General features: G+C 47.1%; 1 annotated feature.

Moving 5' to 3' along the window:
* Positions 338–838: an enhancer, noted in NCBI's record as "H3K4me1 hESC enhancer chrX:71532082-71532582 (GRCh37/hg19 assembly coordinates)". NCBI's record gives its function as "activates a minimal SCP1, AML or CMV promoter by ChIP-STARR-seq in primed H9 embryonic stem cells {active_cell/tissue: H9 hESC(primed)}" and the evidence as "EXISTENCE:reporter gene assay evidence [ECO:0000049][PMID:30033119]".

Below are 14,180 nucleotides of genomic sequence, written 5' to 3' on the forward strand. Positions count from 1 at the left end.
TTTAATCTTATGCTACCCCTGTGGGGTCAGTTATCTCCATTTTATAGAAAATTGAGATTCAAAGAGGTGAAGTCACTGGACCTGTAACACAACTGGGAGGCGAGACTGGGTCTCCATACTCCAGTTCCAATTCCAAGAGCCCAGGGCTCTTCTACATATCCCAGTTGCTGCTGCTCTTTAAAATAATTAAAAATAATTAACACTTTGTCTGACCATAAATGTAATTGTTCACTGCACAGAATTTGCAGGTAACAGAAAAGCACTAGGAGGAAAACATAATAATCAACCCAACTGCATCCTAGTTAACCCTCTGGTGTCTGGCGGTGCAAACTTCATCTCAGTTGCCTCTTACTCCAGAGGTATTGTGTGCTGCAAATTGTCAGTAAGAGTGGCTAGTCTTTCCTGATGGGCCACCGAGTGAAGCTGCAACTCTTTGGGGCCCCTGTCACGTGTGGGTTCCTGGGAGATGGTGGGTCCTAACTGCCCCCCCGACCCCCCTTATTTCCCAGTGTCCCCTTTAGATACTTCAGCCAGGACCACGGTTTTAGGGGAAGTCCTGGTGGCCCTTTTCCTCTTGCTCCATGTGGAGACTCTGCCCAGAAGCCCCCTTAGGATTCTGTGAGTTTGCAACCACTGTGAATATGCCTGTGCCTCCATTTCCCCATCTGGAAGATGCTAGTGAGAATAGCAGATGGGTCAGCCTCTGCCAGGGAGTGATGAGCTAACGTCTGTAGTGCTTTCCAGCCCCTCGGAGCAAGGTGCTGGATCCTTCCCGGCTCTGCGCCTGCCCCTGCCAGCCTGAGTGAGCGCCTGGGCGGCTCTGCGCCTGCCCCTGCCAGCCTGAGTGAGCGCCTGGGCCTGGCCGCTCTGCGTGGAGGGAGTGGCCGCATTCCTCTGACCCAGGCCAACAGGCTTGGACAGGCACTCACTTTTGCTTCTGTGTTTAAAAAAAAAGGGAAGAAGAAGAAAAGAAGAGAAGAGAAGATGAATTGAAGAAGAAGGGGAACAAGATCAGTTACTAGGGGAATGGGCCTGGAGAAATAGAAAATTGAGAAGAGAGCAGAGCGATCACAGGGCATCCTTGGGCACCCCAATCAGCTTCGTAGATTCTAGCCCTGGTTTCCTGTTTACACATGGGGTGGGGGAAGTTTGGAAAGGGCCAAGAATTGGGTCTAGTTGAATTGATTCCCTACTTGATTTCCTGTTATTTATGCATAATGGGAAAACCGCAAATATACAAACAGCTCAGGCCACCCGGCCTCTTGAATCCTTAGGGGCCATCTTCACAGCTCTGTCCACCCCAGCCTTCAGAGATGTCATTCCAGTGTATGTCCCTTCTCTGTGCCCCCTTCTGGCATTCAACTTCATAAGAACCCTAGCCAGTCAACGCTATCATCCCCATTTTAGGAAGAAGGGCATCGAGGCACAGAGAGGGGAAACAAGCCTAAGATGACACAAAGGGTTAAGTGGCAGAGCTGGGATTCACAGCCGGGTCTGGCTCACTCCTGAGGCCAAACACCCCCCGCTAGGCTACCTTGTTATCGGTGTCCCCCTGTTATTGGTGTCTATGCTTTTCTTTCTTCTAGAATGGATGGTTCACCACACTCATTGCAGTAAATAGTCAACGCGTATGGCCAGAATGGATGCGTGGCCCAGATCTAGGGAGAACTCTTGAGGGAGGAGTCCAGTTAGGGGCTGGGGCAGCAATCTCCAGGGATGAGGTGCAGGTGGGAGAGGGCAGCAGCAAAGATGACTCTGAAAACTTTACCCAGGGAGAAGCCCAGGGTTCAAAGGCAGGGAGGGAGAGAGGTGCTGGTGTAGAGGAGAAAGAGAAGCAGCAAGCAGGCCTGGCCCTGGGCTGTTCGGGTGTCAGCAGTGAGGCTGGAGGCCTTGGGAAGGTGTGAGGCTTTGTGGGGGAAGAGAAACTCTGCTTTAAGCATGTTTAGTTTAAGCTGTTGGCAGAACATCCAAGTGGAAATAGCTCACACACAGCCAGGAATATAGGACTGGAAAGAAAGTGAGGTTGTGTCAAAAAGAGCAATCGGCAGGATGACTTTCGGCCAAACTGTGGGGAACTTTCCCCTGCTTCTCTCCATGGCACAGAGAGGGGCTTTCTCCTCAAGGGGCCTGGGGGACACTGGCTTTTCACTGCAGCCATCCCTCTCCCCTCTCCAGCCCCTCCAGCTCAGCACAATCATGGACACGTGCTTCAAATCTCTAAAGGGCAGTGTGAGAGGATCTCAGTCCATAAATTTCCCCATGCCAGGGAGTGATAGGGGCCTCATCTCACGTTGCTAAATACATTTGGCTAGGCCTCAAGCATGCCAGGCCTTCCCTGGTTTCACGTTAGCTTCTAGAACACAGGCCTTTGGGGTCTTGTTTGCTCTCCTTTTTTGGCCACATGCCATTGTCAGGTCAGCACAGTGTCTCCCAGCTTACTTTGTCCTTAAGAAGGTGAGGCCACTTCAGTCTGGCCCTGCTCCCTGCAACAGCAGGCTGAAACTGCTCCCTTGGCCTAAGACCTGAGAGATTTTGCAACCCTTTGCCCTGAGTCTCATCTCCACGCTACGGGGATTTCCCTGGACTCCCCTTTCTTGGGGCCCAGCCCTCCTAGTCTCCCAATCCCATCTCAGCTGAGGCCTCACACTTCCATTCATCCATGGATCCCACTTTGCCCTTAGTAAGAGTCTCCACTGGCATGGAGAAGTCTCCCAGCTTGGACCACTGGCCCCTATTGCCTCTCTTGGCCCTTAACTTTGGGGCTGGGAGGCTGGCCTGGGCAAACATGGCTGAGTGAACATGGTTAGGAGTCATTTCACATGCACAAACTGGGGGACTGGAAAGATTTCCACAGATCCCCACAGCCACAGAGACTTGTCCCCCTGTGTTCCCCGCAAAGGCCTGTGCTCTAGAAGCTAAAGTGAAACCAGGAAGGCCTGGCATGCTTGAGGACAAGATCAGTGCTGAAGATGGATTGAGGATCTGGGGTATCTCAGGGGGTCAAGGTGCAGACTGCCGCCAGGCAAGCAGAGAGGACCACAGGCCTGGTTATACAAGGTAAAACTTTCCTGCCTAGATGCAGGGAGAGTGCCTCAGCTAGCACATACAGTCTGCTTGTACTAATTACAAAAAGGCACCTCCTCTGGGAGGAGCAATTAGAACCAGGTGCTGCTTCCTCTGGGCTTTGCACAACCCTCACCCCTGGGCCCACGGCTTTGCAAGAGGAACACAAGCTGAATTTCAGGGCACAACCTGCACAGACTTTGAGGCCTTGTAAAGAGATGAGTCTGGGTCACCACATGGCTTGCTTAGGTTCCTGCAGTGGCCCGGCACCCCTGAATATACCACCTCAAGGGAGAATTCTTCCTACTAGCTCTAAATAATAACATCAGTGGGAATGGTCACTGAACACTTATTAGGAGACAGATCCTCTCTGTTCCTAGTGCTCTGTGCTTATTCTCTCATTAAATCCCCCAATAACCTTAGGTGTTAGGTCAGTACTATTATTACCTCTTCCGTATTTTGCTGATAGGGAAATTGAGGCACAGAGATATTAGGCAGCTTGACAAGGTTATACACTTTGTATGTTTTGGGCCGAGAATCTTAACCAGGCTGACTGGCCCCAGAGCCTCTGCTGGTGACCACTGGGCCTCACTGTCCCCTAAGTAACGCCCATTGCCAGTAGGGACCTGCCCCTTGTAGTTCATAAAGACCTTTCCCATCCATGAGTAAAGTCAATTCTCACACAGCTTCCTCACTCCTTGGAATGTTGTCACTGTTACTATCAGGTCTTCCCTGATGACTTTTTTTTTTTTTTTTTTTTTTGTGGAGACAGAGTCTCGCTCTGTCGCCCAGGCTGGAGTGCAGTGGCACCATCTCGGCTCACTGCAACTCCGCCTCCTGGGTTCAAGCAATTCTCCTGCTCCGCCTCCCGAGTAGCTGGGATCACAGGTGCGCACCACCAATACCCGGCTAATTTTTTATATTTTTAGTAGAGATGGAGTTTCACCATGTTAGCCTGACTGGTCTTGAACTCCTGACCTCAAGTGATCCGCCCACCTCGGCCTCCCAAAGTGCTGGGATGACAGGCATGAGCCACCGCGCCCAGCTACTGATCACATCTTACAGATGAAGGGAGGAGGCTTGGAGAGGTGAGATGGCCTTGCTGAGGTCAGACAGCCAGCAAGTGAGGATGCTACCATTTGAATCTGTTCTTCCAGGTTCAATCTTTCTTTCCCCACTCTCTGACTGTGTACCCCATCTCCCTGCCTTCAGGTTCTCACCTTTCCTCAAAACTGAATGTCCGAGCTGGTAAGGACTGGAGAGATGACCTTATCTGACTTGTCACTCAGCGTTACAGAATAGAAAGTTAGCGCTCTATTGATACCTGGTTGGACTGGAGTCAGGGTAAAAAAGACAGACCTGAGCAGAAAGAAATGTATTCAATGCAGAGAGAAAGGAGAACCAATGAGAGGAAGAGAAAGATAACAATGGGTGGGGGGATGGGGTGGCGTGGAGGGAAAGAATACGCAGATGCCTGGGAAGAAAACAAGGTAAGGAAAAGAAATCAAATGAGAAAGAAAAAGGCCCAAAGTGGGGTGAAGGCATAAGTGACCAGCCATCTGGAAGCAGCACTGAGCTCGGCGGGGGCGTGTGTTTGTGAAGCAGGGGAGCTGGACCGACAGGTGCGAGGGCCCAGCTGCAGCCAGCCAGGAACTCTCCAGGCCCAGCGCCCAACCGGAAAGAAGGCATGGCCCCCGCAAGAGACTTCTCAAGGGAGATTTTGGCTGCAGGAATACGGGGAGGAAACTGCCTTCTTCTAGAGGCAGAGTAGACCCTCAGCAGGTCCAAGGTGGGGAGGCTTGCCTCTGAAGAGCTCCTGGGGTTCCAGGGGAGGAAGGTTCCCATGGCCTATCTTTGCACTTCTCTTGCATTTTTTTCAAGCCTCTCCCAAGTGTGACCTTTGGAGTCTGGAATATGGATAATGCTCTGCTATGTTTGTATCTCAGGCTGCCTTGTCCTGGCCTTGAATGGTCCGAGGGGATTAGTAAATGCCAATTCGTGCTACCAACAGCTGAAACCCAACAGGAATAGGTAGGGAGGGGAAAAGGGCTGCCAGACCCAACTGGCCACTCTCCCTCTCAGCTCCAGCTGTGGCCTAGTCTGATAGTGAGAGCACAGGGCTCCACCATCAAACTGTCCCTGGTTCAAGTCCTGAGGCTACCACTTCCTAGCTTTGTCTTTGGGCAAGTGACTTTGGCTCTTTGGGCCTCAGTTTCCTTACGTGTCAGGTAGGGGAAAATAAGAATGCCTACGTCATGAGGCTGTGCCAGGGTTGAATGACATAACGTCTATGGCTATAAACTCTCAAGTGCTGTACACATGTAAGTAATTACTCTTCCCTGATCCCTCTTCCCTGCTGCTTGGGGGATGGAGTCAGCTTTTCAATCTGAGTCCAGTTCCAAGCCTGACTTCACCTCTTTGGCCCTGTTTTCCTCATTGTCACATATAACTGTGTGGGAAGTCAGGCCTCTCTGACCCACTGGGGTGGGATCAGGGCTGGCTCTTCTTCCCACACAGTTTTTCATTCAGGCCACAAATGTAAGCTGAGCCCCTACATGGCCCTTCTTCAGTCACCGAGGCCTCAGAGGGACCAAGGCACCACCTCAACCCTCAAGGAGTTCCCAATATAGTGGGGGAGATAGAAAAGCAGACCTTAAAATGAAGTGGGAGATAGGTGACATCTGAGCTGAGGATCAGCATTCTCCAGGTATTGGGGACAGCATGGGCAAAGGTGCTGATGGGAGCTGGGAAACAGCACAGGATGGGATCTATGAGGTTGCAGGAGCCAGACTTGGATGCCACGTTAAGAAATTCAGCCTTTATATTGTGGTCACTAAAGATGATGTGGGCAGATAAGCGTGGAGTCTGGTACAGACAGTTACTCAGTAAAGCATGCTCATTGCCTTGACTTTCTCTCTCCATCTTCCATCTCCACCAGTGAGCAAGCGAGCCAGCCCTAGGCTTCCTGGAGGGCTCCCAGGTCTCTGCCCTGAATATGGCCCCATAAGGGCTCTTGAGCCCCCTGTTTCCCTGCACATTTTCCCAAACTCAGTAAATGGCACCTCTGTTCACCCAGTTTCTCAGGCCCAAAACCTTGCTTTCATCTTTTTCTTTCTCTCTCTCCCTAGATCCAACTGATGAACAAATTCTGTCGGCTGTTTCTGAAATACAGCCAGAGGCCAGGTGCAGTGGCTTACTTCTGTAATCCTAATACTTAGGGAGGCTGAGGCAGGAGGATTGCTCAAGGCCAGGAGTTGGAGACCAGCCTGGGCAATGTAGCAAGACCCGGGTTGTAAAAAATAAAAATAAAAGAATCAGCAAGGCACAGTGGCTCTTGCCTGTAGTCCTAGCTACTCAAGGGGCTGAGGAAAAAGAAACACTTGAGCCCAAGAGTTCAAGGTTACAGTGAGCTATGATCACAACACTGCACTCCAGCCTGGGTGACAGAGCGAGACCCTGTCTCTAAAAAATTTTTTTAAATGCAGCCAAAATCCAAACCACTCCTCACCACTTCTATAGCCACAACCCTGGGCTGAGTCACTCTCATCTCTTCCCTGCAGTCACCCTCTGACCAGCTCTCTAGCCTCTGGCCCCTATTCCTCACACAGCAGCCAGAGGGGTCCTGTCCCCTCTGCTCAGGAGCCTCGAATGGCTCTCCATCCCATACAGGGTAAAAGCCAAAGTTCTTACAGTGGCCCATGTCACTTGATCCTTCCTGCTTCTCTACACTCATTTTCTCCTACTCTACCCTCATTCCCTCAGCTTCATGCACATTGGCCTCACCATTTCTTGGATATGACAAGACAGTTCCTGTCTCAGGCTCTTTGCATTTGCTGTTCCCTCTGGCTGGGACACTCTTTCCCTGATGGCCACCTGGCTAGCTGTTCAGGTTTTTGCTCACTGTCACCTCCTCAAATGGGCCTTCCCTGGGCACCCTTTCTAAAATAGCCCTGTCCCACTCAACTTTTATCTTGTTTGATTTTCTCCATAGTACTTACCACTGCTTGCCATATTGTATTTATTCTCTGTCTCTCCAACTAGAGTAAACACTCCATGAGAGCAGGCATTTTGTTTTTTGAGACAGGGTCTCGCTCCATCGCCCAGGCTGGAGTGCAGTGTTGTGATCACGGCTCACCACAGCCTGACCTCCTGGGCAAAAGGATTCTCCCACCTCAGCCTCTCGAGTAGCTGGGACTACAAGCATGTGCCACCATACCTGGCTAATATATTTTAATTTTTTTTTTGTAGAGATGGGTCTTGCTATGTTGCCCAGGCTGGTCTTGAATTCCTGGGCTCAAACAATTCTCCCGTGTCGGTCTCCCAAAGTGCTGGGATTATAGGAATGAGCTACTATACACCCTATCCTTTTAAGTCTCTGGTAACCCCAGGACCGTGCTATGGGGCTAACTGGTGGGCGCCTTTGGAGGAAGCATTCCAGTCTGGCAGGAAAGCTGCAGAGTAGTGAGCGGTGCCTACCAGCCTGGGAGTGGAGTGGCCCAGAAAGGATGGCCACAGTGTGGAGGGGATTAAGGGCAGATGAAAAGTGCTGAATACAGGGCATTAGTAGGCCTAAGAAATGGCAGTACCCATCCACTGTCCCCACCAGTCTACAGCTGTGATTTTGTGGTTTCTCTTCAGCCTGTCTCCTTTCACATACATATGTGCACATTAGTACCAATCCCCAGCTCACCCCTCATTCCCACCCTTATTCTACCTTTATCTTCACTTTCAGCTTGTGCAAACCCATGCCCTCCATGCTGCCCACAGTGTGACTCCCAACAGGGAATTTTTTGTTGTTGTTGTTTTGTTTTTGAGATGGAGTCTTGCACTGTCGCCCGAGCTGGAGTGCAATGGTGTGATCTCGGCTCACTGTAGCCTCCGCCTCCCAGGTTCACACCACTCTCCTGCCTCAGCCTCCTGAGTAGCTGGGATTACAGGTGCCTGCCACCATGCCTGGCTAATGTTTTGTATTTTTAGTAGAGATGGGGTTTCACTGTGTTGGCCAGGCTGGTCTCGAACTCTTGACCTCATGATCCGCCCGCCTCGGCCTCCCAAAGTACTGGGATTACAGGCCTGAGCCACCACACCCAGCCCCCACAGGGAATTTCAAAAGGTATTTAGGTAGCTTTTGGGGGAAGATACGTTAGGATTGCACTGTATGTCTAGCACTAGCCTGAGCCTCTGGGAAAATTAGGATGGGCTCATGGTCACTGCTATTCCCTTTAATTCCTCCCAGCATTTACTGAGGTCCTACTACATGCCTGTCATGAGTGCTGGACCTGAAGAGATGGGAAAAGTCAATGAGTGTTGTCAAAGAGACAGGTAACTAAATAATAACTTACTATTAAGCATCTGAAACATGCCCAATCTCACTAATAAAACAAAAAAAATGAAAATTCAAACAATGAGATAGTTTTACTTTTTAGGTGGGAAAAGAAGTTGTAGGGAGGGTGTGGGGGCAGCCACATTCACACAGCTTTAGTGGGACTGTGAATTGGGACAACACCTCTGGGAATCAAAACCTATAATCTCTTTTGTTTGTTTTAGGTTACATGCCCTTTGATCCAGCAGTTTCACTTCTACAAATTTATCATGAGGAAATAATGCAACAAATGTGCAAGGGTATAGGTAAGAGGATCTTCGCTGCAATTTTTTTGAGGTGAATTGCGCACAATGGAAATTTAACAGTTTTACCCAATACAGAGAAAAAATAAATGTTTGAGGTGATGGATGTTCCAGTTCCCCTAATTTGATCATTACACATTGTATACAGCTATCAAAATATCACACGTACCTCCAAAATATGTACAACTTTTATATATCAATTAAAACATAAAAAAGTAAATTAACCATTTTGAAGTGAAAATTCAGTGACATTTGGTACATTCACAATGTTGTGTAATCACCATTGCTATCTGGTTCCAAAACATTTTCATTACTCCAAAACAAAACCTGTACCCTTTAAGCAGTTACTCCCAATTTTCCCCTCTGCCCAGGCCCTGGTAACAACCAATCTGCTGTCTTTATGAATTTGCTTATTCCGGGGGTTTCATGTAAATAGAACCATACAATACGTGACCTTTTATGTCTGGTTTCTTTCACTTAGCGTAATGTTTCTAAGTATTGTGTCAAGTATCAGTGCTTCATTCCCTTTTAAGGCTGAATAATATCCCTTATATGCCCATGTCACAATTGGTTTATCCATTCATCCATTGATGGGCATTTATTAGAATATTGTGGCATTTATTTCACTACCTTTTGGCTATTGTGAATAGTGCTGTGATAAACATTCATATACAAATATTTCTTTGAATACCTGTTTTCAATTCTTTTGGATATATAGCTAGGAGTGTAATTGCTGGGTCATATGGTAATTCCATGTTTCACTTGTTGAGTAGCCACCAAACTGTTTCCCACTGCGGCTGCACCATTTTACATTCCCACACCAAGGTACAAGGATTCCAGTTTTTGTACATGCTCATCAACACTTGTTATTTTCTGTCTTTGATTATAGTGATCCAAATAGGTATAAACTGACAAGTGATTGCGATTTTGATTTGCAGTTCCCAAATGACTAATGATGTTGAGCATCTTTTCGTGTGCTTCTTGCCCATTTGAATATCTTCTTTGCAGAAATGTCTAATCAAGTTCTTTGCCTTTTTTTTTTTTTTTTTTTTGAGACAGTGTCTTACTCTGTTGCCCGGGCTCTGGAGTGCAGTGGCGTGATCATGGCTCAGTACAGCCTCGACCTCCTGGGCTCAAGCGTTCCTCCTGCCTCAGCCTCCTGAGCGGCTGGGACTACAGACGCAGGCCACCAAGCCTGGCTAATTTTATTTTTTAATTTTTTTGTAGAGACAGGGTCTTGCTATGTTGACCAGGCTGATCTTGAAATCCTGGACTCAAGAGATCCTCCTGCCTTGGACTCCAGAAGTGCTGGCCTCTTTCACTTTCTCGATAATGTTCGCTGCAGCAAAAAAGTTTTTAACTTTGATGAAGTCTAATTTATCTATATTTTTCTTTTGAGACAGAGCCTCATTCTGTTGCCCAGGCTGGAGTGCAGTGACACAATCTCGGCTCACTACAACCTCTGCTTCCCAGGTTCAAGTGATTCTCCTGACTCAGCCTCCTGAGTAGCTGGGATTACAGGCGTGCACTACCACGCCTGGCTAATTTTTTGTATTTTTAGTAGAGATGGGGGGTCTCACCAGCTTGGACAGGCTGGTCTTGAACTCCTGACCTCTGGTGATCTGCCTACCTCAGCCACCAAAAGTGCTGGGATTACAGGCGTGAGCCACCACACCTGGAAGGCTAATTTACCTATTTCTCCTTTTGTTGCTTGTGCTGTTGGTGTCATAGCTAAGAATCCATTACCAAATCCAAGGTCATGATCTACCCCCATGTTTTCTTCTAAGCATTTCATAGTTTATCTCATACATTTAGGTCTTTGATCCATTTTGAACTCATTTTTGTGTATAGTATGAGATAGAGTTTCAACTTCATTCTTTTTTTTTATTTTTCCTAGATGGAGTCTCGCTCTGTCGCCCAGGCTGGAATGCAGTGGCACGATCTTGGCTCACTGCAACCTCCGCCTCCCAGATTCAAGTGATTCTCCTGCCTCAGCCTCCCGAGTAGCTGGGATTACAGGTGCATGCCACCAAGCCCGGGTAACTTCATTCTTTTGCATGTTGAAATCCAGTTGTCTCAGCAAAATTTGTTAAAGAGACTTCTTTTTCCCCATTGAATGGACTTGGCATCTCTGTCCAAAATCAATTGGCCATAGGTGTATTTCTGTACTTTCAATTCTGTTCCATTGTACCTATATGTCTGTACTTATGCCAGTAACACAATGTTTTGGTTACTATAGCTTTGTGGTAAGTTTTGAAATAGGGAATCATGAGTCCTCCAACTTTGTCCTTCTTTTTCGAGATGTTTTTACTACTTGGGGTCTCTGGAAACTCCATATGAATTTCAGGATGGATTTTTCTATGTCTGCAAAAAAGTCTTTGGGATTTTCATAGGAATTGCTTTCAACCTGTAGATCGTTTTGAGTAGTATTGACACCATACAACATGAAGTCTTTCAATCTATGAACACGTTTTTCCATTTATCTGTGCTTTGTTTAATTTCTCTCAACAACATTTTATAGTTTCAGTGTACAAGTTTTTTGCCTCCTTGGCTAAGTTTATTCCTAAATATTTTATTCTTTTGGATGTTATTGTAAATATAACTGTTTTCTTTTTCTTTCTTTTTTTTTTTTTTGAGATGGAGTCTCACTCTGTTGCCCAGGCTGGAGTGCAGTGGTGTGATCTTGGCTCACTGCAACCTCTGCCTCCTGGGTTCAAGTGATTCTCCTGCGTCAGCCTCCCGAGTAGCTGGGACTACAGGTGCGTGCCACCACGCCTGGCTAATTTTTTGTATTTTTAGTAGAGACGGGGTTTCACCTTGTTAGCCAGGATGGTCTCGATCTCCTGACCTCGTGATCTGCCCACCTCAGCCTCCCAAAGTGCTGGGATTATAGGCGTGAGCCACCGCGCCTGGCCAGAACCGTTTTTTAAATTTCCTTTTCGGATTATTCATTGTTGATGTATAGAAACACAATGGATTTTTTTTGGTTAACCTTGTACCCTGCTACTTTGCTGAATTCATTTATTAGCTCTAGTGGTTGTTGTTGTGCAGTGTTTTTATTTGTAAGGAAAATTGAGAAAATTCTGAATGTTGAGCAATAGGGGACAGGTTAAACAAATTTTGAAGCATCCATATAATAGGATCATTTCAAGCATCAGGTGTGCCTTCCTTTTTGGTATGTCTGGCATATGTTATAATGGAAGATGAATAAAGTAGCTGTTTCTAGATTGATATGGAAAGCTGTCCACGGCGTATAATTAAGTGAAAGAAAAATCAGGTTGCAGAACAGTTTCATTTCATTTACATAAAAGTCAAATGGTCATATATGCATAATGCCAGCTCCATTGAGACAGAGATCGTTGTCTGTTTGTACACAGATGTAACCCTAGTGCCTGGCACGCTGCATGGCACATAGTAGGTGCTCAATAATATTTATGGAGCAAATGAAAAAAAGTCTGGAAAGAAAAACACTAAATTGCCAATAGTGGTTATCACTGAAGTATAGGGATATGAGGGAACCATTATCTGTATTATCTGAAAGTTTTTACCTGAAGCATATATTGAGGGGAAATATTTCATTACACACACACACACACACACACACACACACACACAAACACACACACACATTCTCTTACCAAGTAAGTGGTTAGGAGAAAGGCATAGTGGGCCAAAGGAGGAAGGTGCCAGGACTCCATCTGAGGTAAACAGAGGCTTCTCACAGGCAGTCACTTTGGAGCTGGGCCTTACCAGGCTCCTTATTATTTATTTATTTTTTTGTCCACACAGTAGCCAGAGCGAGCTTTTCAGAATGCAAATCTGATCAGACCACTCCTTGGCTTAAAACTCTGATGGCGTCCTTACCTGCAGGCTCAAGCCCAGCCCCCCAACCTGGCACAGGAAGCCCTTTGTGATCTGGTCCCTGCTATCTTTACTTGCAGCAACTCACCAATATAGATTTTAATGTTTTATTATGAAAATTGAAAAACCACAAAACCAGAGAGACTATATAATCAACTCCCATATTTTCATTCAATCCACTTTAACAGTGATCAACATTTTAAAATTTTGTTTTACCCACGTCCCCCTCCCTCCCCACCCTCCATATACATTTTCCTCCTCTGGAGCATCCAGATACAGTTCATCTATAAATACTTCTCTTTATCTCTCTATAAGATGAGGATATAAAATATATGTGTATATAACCACCATGCTGTTATTGTACTTAACAAAATTATCAATAATTTCTTAACATAACCTGTCCAATGTTCCCTCATTGTTTTAATAACATCTTTTTACAGTTGGTTTGCTTGGATACCGTCAAATATCCTGTGTTCCAGCAACACCAAGCTGCTTATTGCTTCCCTAAATTTCCTGTGCCTTCTTGCCTTCATGTATTCCAGTCCCTTTGCCTGGAATGCCTCCTCCCATGCCTGGCCCAAGATTCAGCTTGAGTGTCACCGCCTGCTTGTAGCCTTCATGGTTGCCCCAGTCTAGATTGCTTGTCTCCTCCTCTGTGTTAATAATACCTAGAATAAGGCATTGCTCTGTCTTATTACATAGTTCTACCATTCTCTAAGTATGTATTGAGAGAGAGAGAGAGAGGAGACTGGGCGCGGTGGCTCACACCTGTAATCCCAGCACTTTGGGAGGCTGAGGCGGGCGGATCACGAGGTCAGGAGATCGAGACCATCCTGGCTAACATGGTGAAACCCCGTCTCTACTAAAAATACAAAAAATTAGCCGAGCGTGGTGGCGGGCGCCTGTAGTCCCAGCTACTCGGGAGGCTGAGGCAGGAGAATGGCGTGAACCTGGGGGAGGCGGAGCTTGCAGTGAGCTGAGACTGTGCCACTGCACTCCAGCCTGGGCGACAGAGTGAGACTCCATCTCAAAAAAAAAAAAAAAAAAAAAAAAAAAAGAAAGAAAAAGAGAGAGAGAGGAGGAGAGAGAAATAGATAATGATAAATGATAGATGGTATCTGGGGATTGCCAGGACAAGATGGCTACTTTAGTTAGGGTAGGGTGGTCACAGTATTATTATTATAACTTATTTATTTATTTAATTTATTTTTTTTTGAGATGGAGTCTTGCTCCCGTCGAGCAGGCTGGAGTGCAGTGGCGCGGACCTTGGCTCACTGCGACCTCCACCTCCTGGGTTCAAGCGATTCTCCTTCCTCAGCCTCCTGAGTAGCTCGGATTACAGGCATGCGCCATCACACCCAGCTAATTTTTGTATTTTTAGTAGAGACGGGGTTTCACCATGTTGGCCAGGCTGGTCTTGAACTCCTGACCTCAGGTGATCCACCTGCCTCGGCCTCCCAAAGTGCTGGGATTACAGGCATGAGCCACCGCACCCGGCTGTTTTTTTAAATTTTTTGAGACAGAGTCTCACTCTGTCACCCAGGCTGGAGTGCAGTGACACAATCTTGGCTCACTGCAACCTCCATCTCTTGGGTTCAAGCGATTTTCCTGCCTCAGTTTCCTGAGTAGCT

The sequence above is a fragment of the Homo sapiens genome, chromosome X (assembly GCF_000001405.40).
Source record: "Homo sapiens chromosome X, GRCh38.p14 Primary Assembly".
NCBI lineage: Eukaryota > Metazoa > Chordata > Mammalia > Primates > Hominidae > Homo > Homo sapiens.